Raw genomic sequence first — 19,734 nt, forward strand, 5'->3', positions numbered from 1 at the left:
CAGCTGGAGTGACCTTTTTAAATACATAAATGAGGTCCTGTTGCTTCCATGTTTTAAAACTCTCCAGAAACTTCTTAGAATAAAATCCAAAGTACAAATAATGACCTACAAAATTCTACATAATGTAGTTCTTAATCTCTCTTCAGTATCATTCCCACCACTTTCCCTCAGAAATTTCTGTTCTTATAAAGAGAAAGAGGTTGAATGGACTCATCGTTCCACATGGCTGGGGAGGCCTCACAATCTTGGTAGATTTACGTAGAAACTATATTATGTTGCATCCCATGATGCTCTCACTACACTGGCCTTTTTGCTGTTCCTGCAGTTCACTCCTGCTAATATACTTGGTATTCTTCCCAACATCCTTAAGACTTACTTTCTGAATTAATTCAGGTCTCTGCTCAAATATCACCTTCTCAATGAGGTTTCTCTGACACCCATATAAAGTAGCGCATCTCTCTTCCCTTCCCATCACTTACTATGACTCTACATTGCTATTTTTCTATGTAGCATCACTATCTGTCAAATGTAATTTTTTTTTTTTTAGAGAAAGTCTCTCCGTGTTGCCCAGGCTAGTCTCGCATTCTTGGGCTCAAGTGATCCTCCTGTCTCATCCTCCCTAGTAGCTGGGATTACAGGTGCACACCATGGCACCTGGCTCTGCCAATTGTATTTCTTGTTTGTTTGTTTATTGGTCTGTCTCCCATTACTAGAATATAAGTTCTAAGAGAGATGAGACATTATTCACTTGTCATTTCCTGAGACATAGAAGAGTGGCACAAAGAATGAGATGAATAAGCATCTGGTGAATGAATGAAGATACCATAATGTCATATGGTAGAGGATACCTGAAAGATGGGGATAGAAGAAGGTGCTGCTCTAGCTAAGTTTTGGAGTTTTGGAGAGGCCTTGTAGAGAAGGGGACATGGGAGTTGAGGTCAGAGTCAAAGCAGTTACACATCTTTTGTTGTGCATTGTAATTGTGTATCCTTTCCTTTATTTAAAAAATTGGTTTATGTTCACTATTAAAAAATTCAAACGTTCAAATTCTTTTTTTTTTTTTCTTTTTGGAGACAGAGTCTTGCTCTGTTACCCAGGTTGGATGGAGTGCAATGGCACGATCTCGGCTCACTGCAACCTCCCAGGTTCAAGCAATTATCCTGTCTCAGCCTCCCAAGTAGCTGGGATTACAGGCGTCCACCACTACACCCGGCTAATTTTTTGTATTTTTTAGTAAAGACAAGATTTCACCATGTTGACCAGGCTGGTTTCGAACTCCTGACCTCAAGTGATCCACCCTCCTTGGCCTCCCAAAGTGCTAGGATTACAGGCGTGAGCCACTGTGCCTGGCTCAAATCCGTCTTTAGAATCCTGTCCCATCCCACTCCTACAGATATCCCATGATTACGTTTTTGGCTGATTTTATTCTAGTCCTTTATTACTCTTTATTGCCAAATTGCTCTTTGTAAAGGTTTTATAACTAGTTTTAAGATAATTGTATTAGTCCATTTTCTTACTGCTATGAAGAAATACCCAAGACTGGGTCATTTATACAGAAAAAGAGGTTTAATGGACTCACAGTTCCACATGGCTGGGAGTGCCTCACAATCACGGTAGAAGGTGAAGGAGAAGCAAAGGCACGTCTTACATGGCAGCAGGCAAGATGAGCGTGTGCAGGGGAACTACCCTTTATAAAACTATCAGATCTCGTGAGATGTATTCACTCTCATGAGAACAGCATGGAAAAAACCCGCCCCCATGATTCAATTACTTTCCCCAGGTCCCTCCCATGACACGTGGGAATTATGAGAACTACAGTTCAAGATGAGATTTGGGTGAGGACACAGCCAAACCATGTCAATATTTAAAATGCCTGTTTAGATTTTTTGCTGTTTTTCTTTTGTTATCCAAATAGTTCACTGGATTTTTAAAAATCTCCATTTATCTCCTAAGAAACGTCTGTCTGCTCTGGATCTCTGGATGGAGTTGAATACTCACAACGAAAGGAGAAGGGAATCGTGAAGATGACCATGCCACAGACACTTGCCTTCTGTTATCTGTCCTTACTTTGGCAGAGAGAAGCAATAACACTTTCAGATCTTTTGAGGTTAGCTAGACCTCTTGTATGATAATATTTTTGCTGGTTACTACATGAACTAAGTAGACAAACTTCGGATATTTTGATTTTTATAAGAAGGCTTAACTTGAGGAAGGAACTGGAAAGGTTGAGTAGCCTGAATTCTAATTCTGAAATGTAATCCCCCCTGGGCTAGTAATTCATCTTCTTGATTTTCTTATTTATGTAGTAGAAATTATAGTACTTACCACACATGGGCTATTGGAAAATTAATTATCTAATATAATCTTTTGAAGAGAAAAGTGACATTTAAGTACCTGAGTAATATTAGTAAATATTTTTCATTTCTAAGAAAAGATAAACAGGTGATCTTTACATTAGCAAAATGGTTATTTGTAGTTACACAAAAGCATATATTGGTGTTAAGAGCTAAAATATAGGTTGTCTATGTTTGTAAGGAAAAGTTGAAGACAAAACTGTTGAAAGGATGTGTTATCCAGATAGTAAGCGTTTATATTTTTCAGGATAATCTACAGAGTGTTTTGGTTAATGAATAAATTACAGTTTTATGTGTAAGAATTTCTCACTTAATAGACGTGCCAAAATTCTTATGTGCTGATTTTTTTCTCCTTGCTTTATATGTGTTCTGAATAGTAACATTTGGGTTTAATCAATATGTAGGGTGCTTTTAACAGCACAAATTAGGAACCAAACTGCTGGGTTTGAATCCTGGCTTTGCCACTTATTTATTATATGACCTTGAGTAAGTCATTTAATTTGTCTCTGCTTTTGTTTCTTCGTTGGTAAAATGGGGCTAATAATAACTACCTCATAGGGTTGTAACTACTTTCAATAATTAGCGCTACATGGAAAGCACGTAGAGCAGTGTCTGGCACATAATAAGACCTCAGTGCTAGTCATTACTGTTTTTGTTTTCATCATCACCACCATCATCGTCATTATTGGCTCAGCCCCTTTGATTAAATGTAATGCCTCCAGTAAATGATGATAGTGCCTTTGAATTTGGCCACATCAACCAAATAAAAACGCTTTCCTCAGGTCTGATTAACTCTACAAGCAGATAGCCCATGATTCAGTGAATTTTACTATTAATTTAAAAACCTGATCTTGTTTTGTATGCCCCCATTGGGTGATCTCATCTTTTCCCAACGCTTTAATTACCACTATACTGATGACTCTCAAATTTATATCTCTAGCCCAGACTTGTCTACTGAGGGCCAGACCCATAGATTCATATATACAGCTGTCTGCTGGACACAGCTACTTAGATGTCTTTATGGTATCTCAGAATCAGCATGACTAGAGGTTCATCATCTGTCTCCTTGATCCAGCTCCTTTTCCAGTGTTCTCTTTCTTAGTAAATGCCATCCACCCTGTTGCATCCTATCCAGAAGCCTAGGAATCATCCTTGACTCTTTCCCCTCTACGTACACTGTTGGTCAATTGTCCACTCAGTTATATGTCCAAAAACTCACAGAACCATTCTTCTCTGCATTCCCTCTCTCTCTCTGTCCTCTCTACCCTCATTTGGATTGCTTAACAGTCTCCCAGATGAGCTCTGTGTCTGTAATCTTGTGTCATTTCTATCCATTTTCCTCCTGATAACCAGAAGGATCTTACAAAAACATAAACCTAATCATGTCATTAGAGCTGGATAAAGGGGCTAGCCATCCTACCCAGGACGATCTATAAGGGGCTAACAGAACTCTCCTAGAAATCTAACAAGGTGGAGAAAGTCGTATTTACCTGGAATTCTTCTCAGGGAGAATATTATATGTGGTTGGAATAATAGGGGTAAGATACTACCCACCCCTCTTCTCTCCCTCCCTCTTTTCTCCTCTCTCTCTCTTTCCCTCTCCTCCCCCACCAAGGGGAATTCTAAAATGCCTTCAAGGAGATTAAATCTAGTTAGCTAGGGGGCTTTTGTTTTGCTCTGTGGAATACACAAGTTTGGGAACAGAGCTTAGTTGCTTGGGGCTATAGGAGAAGAGACTGTCACCATTGATATTCTTCCTTTGCTTTTCTCCCAGAAAGAGCTCTAAGTCATAAGTTCTCAAAATGTGGCCTCCTGACTTACAGCTTCAGTATCACTTGGGAACTGGTTCGAAATGTGAATTCTTAGACCTATCCTACACCTTCTGAATCAGAAACCCTGGGGTAGGACCTGATAATCTCTGCTTTAAAATAAGCCCTTCAGGGGATTCTTCTTCTTTTTTTTTTTTTTTAATTGTTTATTTTTATTTTTTCGTAGAGCTGGGGTCTTGTGATGTTGCCCAAGTTGGTCTCAAACTTCTGGCCTCAAGCAAGCCTCCTACCTTGGCCTCCTGCCTTGGCCTCCCAAAATGTTGGGATTATGTCATGAGCCACCATGCCTGGCCCAGAGGATTCTTATGGATGGCAAAGTTTGAGAACCACTGCCAAACTTTGAAAAAATATGTAAAGAACACAGTTTTAAGGGAGTATGTTATTAGCCTGGCCAAAGTACCCACATACCTTAACACTGTGCATGTCACTCCCTTTTTAAGTCCTCTAGCAGCATCCATAGTCCTTAGGATAAATTCATTACCCTGCAAATAGCCTGTAAGGGACCCTGCCTACCTAGCAATAATGGCATTAATGAATAAAAATAGCCAGCCCTTATTCATTCTGTAAATTTGTATTGAATATCTACTATATGCAGGTGTTGTTCTGGCATCTAGACCCTTGCGATGCAGTTGTGAATCATATAGGTCAAGTCCTTGCTCTCACAAATTTCAAGACCAGAGGAGGAAAAAACAAACACATACATATGGTTGGTGCAAAGGTCATTGCAGTTAATGGCAAAAACCACAATTACTTTTGCACTAACCTGATAAATAAGAAAAGGATCAGACAGGGAAAGGCTATTCAGAAGATTGAAATAGGATGGTATGATAGAAAATGACTAGATGGCTACTCTAGATTGGTTATTCGGGAAGGCCTCACCAAGAGGGTGGCATTTACTCTGCACCTTAAATGAAAATAGAGCCAGTGTGAATATCAGGAGTACAATAGACCTCACTTACCACAGAAGATATGTTCCAAGACATTGGATGCCTGAGAATGTAGATAGCACGGAACCCTATATACACTATGTTTTTTCCTATGTGTACATTCCTATGATAAAGTTTAATTTATAAGTTAGGCATAGTAAGAGATTAACAACAATACCTAATAATAAAATAGAATAATTATTACAGTGTACTGGTACTACTACTCTTGAGCTTTGAGGCTGTTATTAAGTAAAATATAAGGGGTACTTGAATGCAAGCACTGCAACACTCTGACAGTAGATCTGAGAATGAGCCAATGAACTACAAGTAACTCATGGCTGGGTGGCGCTACAGCTTGGCTGTGCTGGACAAAGAGAGGACCCGCATCTCAGGTGGGTCAGAGAGAGATGGCATGATATTTCATCATGTTCTTTAGAATGGCATACAATTTAACACTTATGACTTGTTTATTTCTGGAATTGTCCATTGTATATTTTCAGACCACAGGTAGCTGAAACCATGCAACACAAAAAAGAGGATGAGTGGGGACTGCTGTACTGGCATTCCGGGTAGAAGGAGGTTGCTAGTGCCAAGCCCTAAAGCAAGAGCTGTGTGATGAAGGAGCAGAGGAGAGTTCGTGTGACTGGAGTCAGAGAATTCTAGGGCGGAGTAGGAGGATGAGAGTGAACAGATCATCAGAGGCAGATATCTGTCTTTGTAAACCAAGTTAGGAATTTGGATTTTTAAAAATTGAGGTATAATTTATATATAATAAAATGCACCCTTTAAAAATATACAATTCAGTGGTTTTCAATATGTTTTCAAAGTTTGCAAAGCTGTGCAGTCTCTATTTTCAGGACATATCACTCTGGAAGGAAACCTCATACCCAGGGGAACTGCGGGTTTCCAGTGTGAGAGTAAGCCCCTGGAAGATTGCAGCAGGAGAGATACGATCTGATTGATGTTTTTAAAAGATCATTCAGGCAGCTGTGGAAAATGAGTTCTGGGAAGGGTGGAAGCACGGAGACCAGGTGGTCTTTTGCTATCCTCCAGGCAAGAGATGGTGGCTTGGATTATGGCAGTGGTAATGGTGACTGGGTTCAGGATCTGTTTTTACAGGTAGACACGACTTAATTCTAATGCAGTGGTTTTTTTCAGTGATCTGAGACAAAGGATGAGTTTACTAAATTTCTAACCCATCATAGATTGAAACTTTGGAAAATTACATAATTATAAGTAGAGACAGTGTTTCCAGGGGACATGGCTAAACTCTGTTGGTCAGGAGAGGCATATGAGATGCTTTTAGTCTACACCAGTTTTTCTGTCAACTTCCTGGATTGATCTAGAGAACTAGCTGATAATACCTAGGAAGGGAAATAGATTGTTCAGAACTTTGAGTAAGCAGCTTTTTTTTTTTTTTTTTTTTTTTTTGGAAAAACAAATACTTTTCTAAAAGGAGATTCAAAGAACTATTTATAAATGGTGAAAAACTGTTAGAACTCCAGATGCCGAAGACCTGCTCTTTGCGGACATTTCTGCTTCCCCTAGTCAGGTCTCTCATTTCTTCCTCTGCTCCTACAGAACTGACTGTGCCTCTGTTGTGCTGCTTGAGACAGTGTCTCTACTGACTCATGTGCAGGCTGTTTGTCTGACCTATTAGGGTGGGAGTGTGGAAGACCCTTCATCTCTTACTTATCTCTGCAGACTCCTAACACTCCACATAGTGCTGGCATGTATTATCACATAGGAGTGAAGACTACATAAATAATGAGCACATTAACATAGTGGAATACTAGGCAGCTTAAAAAGTGACAGGTATACATTACATCTTGTATATAAAATAATATTAAACCAAAAATATAATTTCACAATAATACAAATACTGATTACTGCACATAAATACTATCATATAAACGAAATATACTAATAAAAACTTAGCTGGGGAACCTTTAACACCATTTTTATGTAAATATTTCTCAACTTTCAGTAGAGTAAAAATTAAAACACATTTTTAATTGAAATTAAATTTGAGGCTGGGCCTGGTGGCTCACTTCTGTAATTCCAGCACTGTGGGAGGCTAAGGCAGGCAGATCACTTGAGGTCAGGAGTTTAAGAACAGCCTGGCCAACATGGTGAAAACCTGTCTCTACTAAAAATACAAAAATTAGCCAGGCATGGTGGTGGGTGCCTGTAAGTAATTCCAGCTACTTGGGAGGATGAGGCAGGAAAATCACTTGAACCTGGGAGGTGGAGGCTGCAGTGAGCTGAGATCATGCCACTGCACTCCAGGCTGGGCGACAGTGAGACTCTGTCTTAAAAAAAAAAAAGTGTTGAATCAGTTTTGTCCTTTAAGTGTTACAAAGCTGAAAGCCAAATGTCAGCCCAGCTCTTCAAGGCAATGCATTTTGTGTACTTATTCCTGTCTTTAGCTCACTTTCCTTAATTTTCTTATTTTAAATATATATAGGTATAAGTATATATTTGACATGGTTGCAAGACCCCCATTTCTCATTCTCAGTTCTCCTTTATTTTTCTCCTTAACATTTCACTCTACCTAACATACTATAGATTTTACTCATCTGTTTTGTATCTTTCTTTTCTCACTAGAATGTAAACTCCATAGGAACAAGAATGTTCTTCTGTTTTGTTCACTGCTGTTTCCCTGCAGTCTAGAATAGGACTAGGTATATAGTATTCAATACATTGTTGTTAAATTAATGAATCCTAAATAAATATATTTGTCTATTTATGTGTATGTGTTATTTTCTTCAAACTCAATAATTGACTCAAAATATTTGATCCACTGTGTACCAGGCATTGGGGTGGAGTGGTGAGCAAACAGGCAAGGTCCCACTCCTTAATGGTTCTTTCAGCAACAAACATCTAACATGTACCATTATAGGTATTGGAGACAGAAGGGTAGACAAGGGAGGTAGGCTGTCACAGAAAATGGGGATCAAGGTAGACCTCCTTGAAGGAGTGATTTATGAGTAGGAGCCTATCATGCGAGGGGAGCTAGGGATACAGGGAATGCCATGTTGGAAAGCCTAGTGGTGAACTAACAAGTAGGATACACACTTCTTGAACACTTTTTTTTTTTTTTGAGACTGAGTCTTGCTCTGTTGCCCAGGCTGGAGTGCAGTGGCGTTAGCTCACTGCAACCTCCGCCTCCCAGGTTCAAGCGATTCTTCTGCCTTAGCCTCCCGAGTAACTGGGACTACAGGCCAAGCCACCATGCCTAGCTAATTTTTGTATTTTTAATAGAGACGGGGTTTCACCATATTGGCCAGGCTGGTCTCGGACTCCTGACCTCGTGATCCGCTTGCCTTGGCCTCCCAAAGTGCTGGGATTACAGTTCTGAAACTCCAGGGCTCAAGCAGTCTTACTGCTGCTGCCTCCCAAATAGCTAGGGGTACAAGCATGTGCCACTGTGTGCAGTCCTTCTTAGACATATTTATTTAGACAGGAACTTAAGAGAATCATTCAGTAATTGGCTAAATAGGCCAACATATGGGTAAAGAGAATAATAGATATGATTAGATTTATTATCCTTAAAATCGTGGGAAATAGAATATGCTTAACTAATTCTTACCTTGTCTTTGAATTAAGAGATTTTTCTTAAAGCATTTACTCTGCTATATCAGTATATAACTCTCATTAAACCTTTTTCTTTTTAAAAATACAGGTTTGTTGAAGAGGACCATATTCCTTACATAAATGCTTTTCAGCATTTTCCAGAACAGATGAAATTATATGGACGTGACAGAGGAATCTTTGGTATAGAGGTAAGTTATTTTCTTTTTTACTTTCTAGTCTCTGATAAGGCACAAGAGTGGTATGATAATTTCTATTTCTTGCTTGACTTATTATTTGGTGTTTTGTGTTTTATCCCAATATGGAACATCAGTCATAATTTAACGAAGAGTAGAATTTTATTATTTTTTATTTTCCTTATGTGGATTCCTCTAATCCTTTAGGTTATCCTCAAAATATAGCTGTAGTGTGATGTGTGTGCATTGCAGATAGGTATGTTGTTGAGACTAAACTTGAGAACTTTTATCTAGAGACCTTTAGGTAATTTCAATTTTTTAAAAATAAAATATGTGTTTTGTTGTTGTTATTTGCACACTATATTGCTATGGAAGAAAGAGAAGAAAGTTATTACCGTGTTTCTAAAGGTACTATTTTAAGTTCTTCACTTATGTTAGTTTGTCTTTTTCTAGATCTGTTTTCAGATGTCTCCAATGGAAGGGTTTCTGTCCTTTGATTATGAGTTTGTGTCACTATTGGTGGTACTCAAAGGTTATTTCCCCTTGGTTCTCATCAGAAGTTTTTTTTGATGTACTAAATGTTAAAGATTTTCCTCCATTCACCTACTTAAGGAATCATTTTCATAGAACTTCATGACCCTGACATTGTTGGCGGTGTAAGAGTCATTTGTTAAGTGCTGTTTAATAGTGGCCTGACTTTGATGAAGGGTAACCTCTATTCAGATACCCTTTGATGTTCAACTTAATGTTGAGGTTTATCCCTTTCCAGCCTGTCAGTGTTAATAAATGCAGACATAAAGTGAATTTGCAAATTTTATGGAAGTTTCAGCATTTCATGTTATCTTTGAAATTAATGTAGGAGAACTGCTTGCAAATCCATTGACAAACACAGAGCTGGCAGAGAATTTAAAGTTGAAGAAGAGAAAACCAATAATGAGGATGGCACAATAGGTGCTTCCAAAGGGAAAATTTGAATGTCAAAGGATTAAGAGTACTCCCTGGCAAAGCTGATAGAGCCCCTGAATATTTTGTAAAATAATTCTCTTTGTAGTTATGCTATAATATCAAAGGCAATAGGAAGGATGTCATATTGTTGCGGGATCTTTGGGGTGCCGTTTTTCTGGCTGGAAAACCTTTGTGGCCGGTGGCATCTTTGCCCAAGTTTTGCACTAGGCTCATTTCGCCCACTCCGCCTGGCAGGCTGTGCTTGGCTCACGCTACCGGCCTGGGTCTCATGCCTGCCAAGGGCAAGTCAGGCATGGAATGGTGATGGATGTGTGAGCAAGCATGGGGTCTGGCCAGTCAGATATGCCACCTGCTGCAGCGGGGCAGGCAGTTCCAGGTGCCAGCATGATTGCCAGCGATCCGCGAGGCTGCGACCGGACCAGTCGCGCTGCAAGCAGTTTCCGCAGCTGGCATTGGGGAACACGGTGGTACCTGGGAGCTTGGAGATGCCAGGAACCACAGGGCCTCAAAGAGGGAGTCACAGCCCTGGCTCGAGGAGCTCCCAGGTCTGGACTCCCCAAAGGACCGCAGCTCTTCTTTCCTTCTCTTTGCCCACAACATGGCGAGCAAGGGGCATGTTTCAGACCTGTTTGTGTTACAACTGTTTTAGCCTTGCCATTCTGTGCGTCCTGAGTTCGTGTCCTGCAACCAGGAAGAATGAGGTACACAGATAAGTGGAGGGTGAGCGAGATGAAGAGGAGCTTTATTGAGCGACAGAACAGCTCAGTCTCCCACAGCGGGCAGCTCCTTTCTGCAGCCAGGGTATCCTGATGAGCGTTCAGCTCCTAGCAGAAAGGAGACTCTGGAATGGGAAGCTCCTGTCTGCAGGCAGGTCGTCCTATTGTCTTTGCAGCTCTCTCAGCAGAGAGGAGGCCCTGGAGTAGGTTATTCCTCTCTGCATCCCATTGTCTTCCCAGCTCTCAGCAGAGAGGGGGCCCTGGAGTGGGTTGCTTCTCTCTAAAGCTGGTCATCCCTTCTGAGTTGGGGTGGGAGCTCCCTGGGTGCTGCTGCAGCCACCCAAGCCACAGCTGTGGACGTGGGCATCCTTGTGCTCTCAGGACAACCTGCCCTCAGAGAGGAGCTTCCCACTCTAAATCATTCATAGTGACCCACATTCTAACTCAGTGCAAATTCTGCCAATATTTAATAATCTGAGATAAAATGTTATGGTATGTTCCATGCATATTCAACTGTATTTCTAGTTGTCCATTTCCTTCTGGCTCAGCGCTCCAAAATTAGTACTTTGTAGAAGTATAGTGTAACAAATTCTTAGTATATCTTCGTAGAACCTATTTAAGTGTTTTGGAGAACTAGGATAGTGAGAAGGGCAGAAAAGTAGGCAAACAGGCTAAAAGATGATACAGTGAGTAAAAAGCCTAAATACTGTAGTTCTAAGTCAGATTACCATCTGTGTGACCTTGGCGAGGCATTCTGTCTGTCTGAGGTGTCTGCTTTATATGTAAAATTGGGATATCAGCTGAACTGTTTATCATGCAGAGGTTTAGCAGGGATCACATGAGATCACAGATGTCAAAGAACTTTGTAAACTATACATGACACAAATAGAAGGTGACACTGGTACAGAAAGAATAATTGATCCTCCACATGAAAAACTGTAAAGGATATTGCATAAATGTAGTTAATTCATGGTTTATTTTGAATGTGAGTCATTATGAGTGATTTGTAGAAGCATTAGATTTTTACAGCAAAACTGGTTTCACCCTTAGAACAACTTGAGTGGGAGCAATTCCAATAGATTTGGAGAGCAGAAAGCAAGCTTGGACGTTTGGTTCCCTCATTCTAGGTGTGAATCTTTATGTCTTCACAGTTATTCAGTTTTCCTAGAGCGACTAGTGGAACTAAGTTACTACTTTTGCATTAGCTATCAGCTTTGTCTTGGTTAATAACAATGTCTTTCTTCTGTATGTCTCCCTTCTTTCTCCCCACGCCCCCCCCCACTTTGTCCTTCTCTCCCTTAATCTCCAGCAATTCTCAGAGCTATTCACTACTCAAGTTATATTGATAATTTTTGCTTAGTTAAGGTTATTTGTATATTTTCCTAGTGCCTGAAATCATCATGTTATCTTTAATTCACTAACCAAATTATAAGCTCCTCAGGAACAGACATCAGAATATTTTATGTAGAATCATGGATTATTAAAGCTGGAGGGAAATTTGGAAATCATTTAGTCCACTTTTCTTATTTTTCCAATAAGGAAACAAACCTAAGAAGAAATATGACTTGGGAATAAGTAAACCTATTCTTCATTAGGATTTTTCATGAGGATTATTTGAGGTAGTATATTCAAAATGCAGACATATTGACGTATTCAAATGGCAATAGGCTCCCTTCCAGACTGGAAAAACTTTTCCCGCAAGATAGGGATTAAGAGGGTAATCAAGCTGTTTGGATCAAAAAAAAAAAGACATACCATTTTGGAAAATTAAGTTTCCATTTTAAGATTCTGTTAACTTTTGAATGTGTTCATTTCTAGATTTTCTCTTGATCTGCAGTCCAGTGCTCTACTTCTGAGCTATACTCGCTCCTTCATTTCTAGGTTTTCTCAAATTAGGTTCGAGGAAGTCCATGGATATGGGAAAGGATAATGTATCTTGTTTCTCATGGTGGTATTTTATAATTTCAGTTACCATGTATTCAACTTTTTGCAAAAGATATTGCTTCCTGTGCTGAGTTTATATGCTTGGAAATGGTATCTAACCAGTAATTTCCTTTTTAAGAGGTTTAGTTTCATTTTAAATGTACTCACATAGACACTCAAATTTCACTATTTAAAAGTAATTATTTTCAAAAATTTCTTCTATGTGTTCTTTCAAATAGTAATAGATCCCATTATTACTAAATGTTTAGGGGACTGCAAGAGAGAGAGAGATATAATACACCAAATTAAGAGACTGTTTCTATAATAGCCATTGTGGCTTACATTGCCCAGAAGCCTAGCTCATTCCTTCAGTTAAGATTTACATTGCCGGCCAGGCGCAGTGGCTTACGCCTGTAATCCCAGCACTTTGGGAGGCCGAGGCAGGCGGATCGCGAGGTCAGGAGATTGAGACCATCCTTGCCAATATGGTGAAACCCTGTCTCTACTAAAAATACAAAAATTAGCTGAGCGTGGTGGCGCACAGCTTTAGTCCCAGCTACTCGGGAGGCTGAGGCAGGAGAATCGCTTGAACCCAGGAAGCGGAGGTTGCAGTGAGCCGAGATTGTGCCACTGCACTCCAGCCAGGCAACAGAGTGAGACTCTGTCTCAAAAAAAAAAAGATTTATATTGCCCACCTATGGGGAGTGTGGTAAGAAGTACCTACAACTATAATAGTCGCATTTATTTCTGACGGCAATTCACAGTTTCAACCTGAAATATTATTTTCTCAGTATTGTATCACATCTAAACTGTTTCCTTCCTCTTTTAAGTTTTAACAATTTGAGACAAGTTTTGTAAATTAAGAGGTGAAATGAGTTATGTTTACTTGCTCTTTGATCTGAAACCATTCAAATACTAATTTTTACTCATCCTATCAATTACTGAGAGAAGAGTTTTGAAATCTCCAACTATGATTGCAACTTTTGTTTCACATCCTATCAGTTTTTGCTTCTGTTACTGGAGCTCTATTACTAGGTGTGTAACATTTACAGTATTTTGTCTTCTTGATAAATTGACTCCTTTATCATTATCTAATGTCACTTTTTTCTCCTCGTGCTGTTTCTACTTGTCTGATACTAATATAGCCACTCCAAGTTTTTTTTATTGATGTTTGCACAGCATATCTTTTTCCAATCTTTTATTTTTGACCTATCTGTGTCTTTATATTTAAAGTGTTTTCTGGTAGTTAGTATGTCATTGGGTGTTGATTTTTAAACATCTAATTGATAATCTCTGCCTTTTAATTCGTGTGTTTAAGCCATTTACATTTGACATAATTATCAGTATAGTTGGGTTTGAATCTACCATCTTGCTATTACATGTCTCATCTCTTGTTTTTTCTTTTTTTCTTCTTTTCCTGCCTTTTGGATTAATTAAGAATTTTTTGTTGTTGTTGTTTGTTTTATGTTTTTTAAGGCATAGGGTCTTATTCTGTCACCCAGACTGGAGTACAGTGGCATGATCGTAGCTCACTGTAACCTCAAACTCCTGGGCTTAAGCAATCCTTTTGCCTCAGCCTCCCTAGTAGCTAGGACTACAAGCAAATACCCCCACAGCCAACTAATTAAAAAAAAATTTTTTTTAGAGACGTGGTCTTGCAGTGATGCCCAGGCTTAATTAAGAATTTTTTAATAATTTCATTTTATCTCCACTGTTGATTTATTAACTATACCTCTCTGTGTTTTTTTGTGGTTGCTCTAGGGTTTACAGTATTCATCTTTACCTTTTCTCATTCTACCTCAACTAATAATATACCATTACTTGTATAGAGTAAGACCCTTACAACAGAGTATTTCCACTTCCCTCCTCCCATCCTTTAGTGTCAAACATTTCACTTCTACCTTAATGCATTGGGATTTTTTTTTTCTGTAAGCAATCATTTATCTTTTCAAGAGATTTAAAATGAGAAAAATCATTTTATATTTACCTATGTGTTTGCCATTTCTGGTAATCTTTTTATTTAGATCCCAATTTCTGTCTAAAAAACGTCCTTTAACATTTCTTGTAGTACAGTTCTGCTGGCAGTGAATTATTGTTGCTTTTCTTGTTCTAAAAAAAAGTCCTAACTTTGCCTTAATTTTTGAGAGATATTTTCAGTAGGTATAGAATTCTAGTTTCATACCTTTTTTTCAGTACTTTAAAGATGTCATTCCATTGTCTTCAGGCCTGCCTAATTTCTGATGTCAATCTGCTATAATTCTTATCTTTACTGTTCTTTATATAATGTGCCTTTTTTCCTTTAGCTGCTTTTTAAGATTTTCTCTTTATCACTGGATCTCACCAATTGGATTATTATGTGCCTTGTCACAGTTTTCTTTATGTTTCTTCTGCTTGGTTTTTTTTTTTTTTTTTTTTTTTTTTTTTTAAGACAAATTTTTGCTCTTGTCGCCCAGGCTGGAGTGCAGTGGCATGATCCCGGCTCACTGCAACCTTCGCTTCCTGGGTTCAAGCGATTCTCTTGCCTCAGTCTCCTGAGTATCTGGGATTACAGACATGCGCCACCACACCCGGCTAATTTGTATTGTTAGTAGAGATGGGGTTTCACCATGTGGGCCAGGCTGGTCTCGAACTCCTGACCTCAGGTGATCCACCCGCCTCGGCCTCCCAGAGTGCTGGGATTACGGGTGGGGAGCCACTGCACCCAGCCTTCTGCTTGGGTTTTATTTACCTTAGATTTATGGGTGTGCAGTTTTCATCAAACTTGGACATTTTCATCCATTATTTGTTTAAATTTTTTTGGCCTCCCCTTGCCTTTTTCTGGGATACTAATTACATGCTAGACCACTTGATATGGTACCATAGCTCCCTGAGGCTTTTCCTTTTTATTTTTCTGGCCTTTCTGCTTACTATGTTTTGTTTTGATAATTTCTATTGTTATGTCTTCAGATTCAGTGATCTTTACTTGAGTATCTTCTAATGTGTCATTAAACCCATTCAATGTGTTTTTCATTTCAGATACTACATTTTTCATTTCTGGAACTTGCATTTTAGTCTTATTTCTTCTCTTTCTCTTCTCATTATGTTCTTGTTTTCTTTTATATTCTTGGCTATATTGACAGTATTTGTAATAGATGTTTTAAAACCCTTGTCTGCCAATTCCATTGTCTTTGTTATTTCTGGGTCTGTTTTATTGATTGGTTATGTATCATATTTTCCTGCCTCTTTGCATGACTGGTAATTTTTTTTTATTAGATGCAATCATTGTAATTTTTATGTTGTAGAGTGCTAGATTTTTTGTTCTAGTGTATAATTAAGTAACTTGAAGAACAGTTTAATCCTTTAGAAGCTTGTTTTTAAGTTTTGTTGTGTGTGGTTTGTTATTAATAGTCCCTTTTTTTCTGGGACTATTTTAGCCTCACTACTAAGGCGTATCCCTACTAAAGACTCTACCCAATGCCTCTGGTATTACGAAGTCTCTGCACTTTGGCTGTTTGCCTTCCGTGAGCTTTGGAAATTGTTTGCTCTACTGCTTTCCTGTTATTTTTTTCCCTGGCCTCAGATATTTTCTCATACATGCACATATTGATACTCAGCAAAACACATGAGAGGGCCCCTTTGCAGGTCTCTGGATCTCTCTGTCTATGCAATTTTGTCCTTTGTGGTACTAAGCTTGCAAATTTTAGCCACCTCAGCTTCCAGAAACTCCAGTCCCTGTCTCCTCTGCTCATCAAGACCACTGAGCTCTGTTTCACTTCCCACCCTTGCACTGCACTGCAGTTTGGAAACTGCCTCCAGGCAGTAAGCTGGGCCATTTGTTTCTCTTCTCTAAGGGATTAGTGTCCATGCTGTCTGTTGTCCAATGCTTGAACCTGTTCTTTCATATATTTTTTCCAGTTCTCTGTTGGATACGGTGGAAGCTCAGTTCCCATGGTTGGTAATCCTTCATGGGCAGAAACAGAAGTGTTCCAAATACTAATTTTTAGACATTTAGAAATAGAGTCAGTATTCAGATGCTTTTTAGGTATTACCTGAACAGTTCTTTCTCAGATGCCTGAAAGCATGTTGTTGCTCACTCATTCTTGGATTTTTTTAAAAAAAAATTGTAGTCTCTGTTCATGAATATTGTCACTAATCTGATCTTTACTTAAATCTTTTCCCCTAAATACCTGCCCTAGTAATAATCCCTTTTGTTGATCTATTTTTTTTCTTTTTTGAAGTAATATTGTTTTTAATTGACAAATTATAATTAATACATGTATGGGGTACAGTGATATTTTGAGATATGTTTACCATGTGAAATGATTACATCAAGCTAATTAACATGTCTGTCACCTCACCTATCATTTTTATGGTGAGACATTTGAAATTTACTCTCTTATTTTATTTTTTTTGGGGACGGAGTTTCCCTCTTGTTGCCCAGGCTGGAGTGCAATTGCACAATCTATGCTCACCACAACCTCCACCTCCCAGGTTCAAGCGATTCTCCTGCCTCAGCCTCCCAAGTAGCTGGGATTACAGGCATGCGCCACCAATCCTGGCTACTTTTTTGTATTTTTAGTAGAGATGGGGTTTCTCCATGTTGGTCAGGCTGGTCTCGAACTCCCGACCTCAGGTGATCCACCCGCCTCAGCCTCCCCAAGTGCTGGGATTACAGGCATGAGCTACTGCACCTGGCCTACTCTCTTACTTTAAATTATACAATACAGTCATGTGCTGTATAACTGTTTCAGTCAACAATGGATCACATATACAACGGTGGTCTAATAAGATTGTAATGGAGCTGAAAAATTCCTGTCACCTAGTGATGTTGTAGACTTCATAACTTCTTAGCACAACACATTACTTGTGTGTTTGTGGTGATGCTTCTATAAACAGACCTTTACTGCCAGTGGTAGAAAAGTATACCATATATAATTATGTGTGATACAGAATACTTTTTTAAAATTACTGTCCTGTTTCTTTTATTCTCCACCTTTATTTCCCTGTAAGGTGTAAGAATTTTTTTGGTATGCTTAATTTTTTTAACTGATGCCTGATACATGTACCTATTTCTGGGATACATGTGATAATTTAATACATTTATATAATTTGGAGTACATAATACTTGATAATAACTGTTACTGTTACTGGTTTATGTATTTACTATACTTGTAATCATTACTTTAAAGTGTACTTCTTCTACTTATTAAAAAAAAGTTAACAGCCTCAGGCAGGTTCCGTAGGAGATATTCCAGAAGAAGGCATTGTTACCACAGAAGATGACAGCTCCATGCATGTTATTGCCCCTAACCCCATATAGGCCTGGGCTAAATGTGTATGTTTGTGTTTTAGTTTTTAACAAAAAAGTTTAAAGAGTAAAAAAACAAAAAATAAAAATTTTAAAAATAGAAAAAAACATTATGGAATAAGGATATAAAGAAAACATTTTTGTATAGCTGTACAGTATGTGTTTTAAACTAAGTTGTATTACAGGAGTCAAAAAGTTAAAATTATTTTTAAGTTTATATAGAAAAGATGCAGTAAGCTAAGGTTAATTTATTACTGAAGAAAGCATATTTTTTATAAATTTTGTGTAGCCTAAGTGTACAGCATTTATGTAGTGTGCAGTAATATTGTAAGCCTTCACATTCACTCACCACTCACTCACTGGCTCACCCAGAGCAACTTTCAGTCTTGAAGGCTTCATTCATGGTAAGTGCCCTATAGAGGTGTACAGTTTGTTTATACTGTATTTTTACTGTACCTTTTCTATGTGTAGATACATAAATACTTGCCATTGTGTTACAGTTGCCTACAGCATTCAGCAGTATATAACATGCAATACATGTTTGTAACCTGGGAGTAGTAGGCTATCTCATATAGCCTAGGTGTGTACTGGGCTGTAACATCTAGGTTTGTGTAAGTACACTCTTCACACAATGAAATTACCCAATGATGCATTTCTCAGAAAGTATCTCTGTCATTCAGCTACGCATGACTATACATTATTATTGACTGTAGTCACTCTGCTGTGCGGTAGATCTCAAAACTTGTTCCTTCTGTCTTCTGAAACTTTGTACCCTTTGACCAACAACTCCGCATTCCCTCCCTCCTCAGCTTCACCCAGCCTTAGATTCTTCATATAAGTGAGATCATGCAGTATTTGTCTTTCTGTGCCTGGCTTATTTTACTTATGGGCCCTCTAGGTTCACCCATGGTGTCGCAAATGACAGAATTTCCCTCTGAATTTAAGGCTGAATAGTTTCCCATTCTATATCAGTACACGTTTTCTTACATTCATCCATCGATGGACACTTAGGTTGAGTCCATATCTTGGCTTTTGTGAGTTATGCTGCAGTGAACCCCATCAACATATTGATTTTGATTTTTTTTGGATATTATCCAGCAGTAGGATTGCTGGGTCATATGGTAGTTCTGTTTTAAGTTTTTTGAGTAACCTCCATTTCATTTCCATGATGGCTATAGTAATTTACATTCCCACCACCAATGTACAAGAGTTCCCTTTTCTTTGCATCCTTGCCAACACTTACCTTTCATCTTTTTAAATTAATTTTGAGTGAAGGGACAGGGTAAAAAAGCAGAGAGACTTCTTAGAGATTTTGGTGGAAGATATAAGCATAGAAAATAATATGAAATTACATCTTGGTAGCAACCACTGCACTTTGCTTTTTTTCACTTACATCTTGGAGAGCACTTAAAAAAATTATTTTGGAATAATTTTAGATTTATAGAAAAGTTGCAAAACTAAGAGTAGTACAAAGAATGCCCATATATCCTGTATCCAGAGTTAACTGTTGTTAGCATTTTATGCCATTGTTTGATCATTTGTGCCATTTTTCCTATCTGTCTACCTACCTACTTGTGTATCTGTGTAATTTTATTTCTGCGTCATTGATTATAAGTTATATCCATCCTGACCCATTACTCCTGAGTACTTTAAAAGACTAAAACAAGGTAGCTAGGTAATGAAAAAATAAGCCAAACAAAACCAGAAACAATCTAAATGTCTATCAACAGGAAAATGGAAAAAATGTGATATAGTCATATAATGGTACAGTAAACCACTATGAAAATTCATGAACTGCAGCTGCAAGCAACGTGAATGAACCTAAGAAACATTATATAGAGTGTGAAAGGCAAAGCTCAGGCTAGACGTGGTGGCTCGCCCTGTAGTCTCAGCTACTAGGGAGGCTGAAGTGGGAAGATTGCTTGAGCCTTGGGAGGTCGAGGCTGCAGTGAGCTATGCTCAT

At 38.6% G+C, this 19,734-nt stretch overlaps 1 protein-coding gene across 5 annotated transcripts in view; it reads left to right on the forward strand.

Annotated features, from left to right (window-relative positions):
* The window catches only part of TAF1B (TATA-box binding protein associated factor, RNA polymerase I subunit B), a 90,975-nt gene that overhangs the window by 30,470 nt on the left and 40,771 nt on the right, over positions 1-19,734 (forward strand). For 3 of the 5 annotated variants that reach the window (NM_005680.3, XM_011510410.3, XM_047446254.1), the window contains exons 7-8: positions 1,954-2,107; positions 8,795-8,894. In NM_005680.3, coding sequence (NP_005671.3) covers positions 1,954-2,107; positions 8,795-8,894 — 254 coding nt within the window. 5 annotated transcript variants of the gene reach the window in all.

Source organism: Homo sapiens, chromosome 2 (genome assembly GCF_000001405.40).
Source record: "Homo sapiens chromosome 2, GRCh38.p14 Primary Assembly".
NCBI classification, from domain to species: domain Eukaryota; kingdom Metazoa; phylum Chordata; class Mammalia; order Primates; family Hominidae; genus Homo; species Homo sapiens.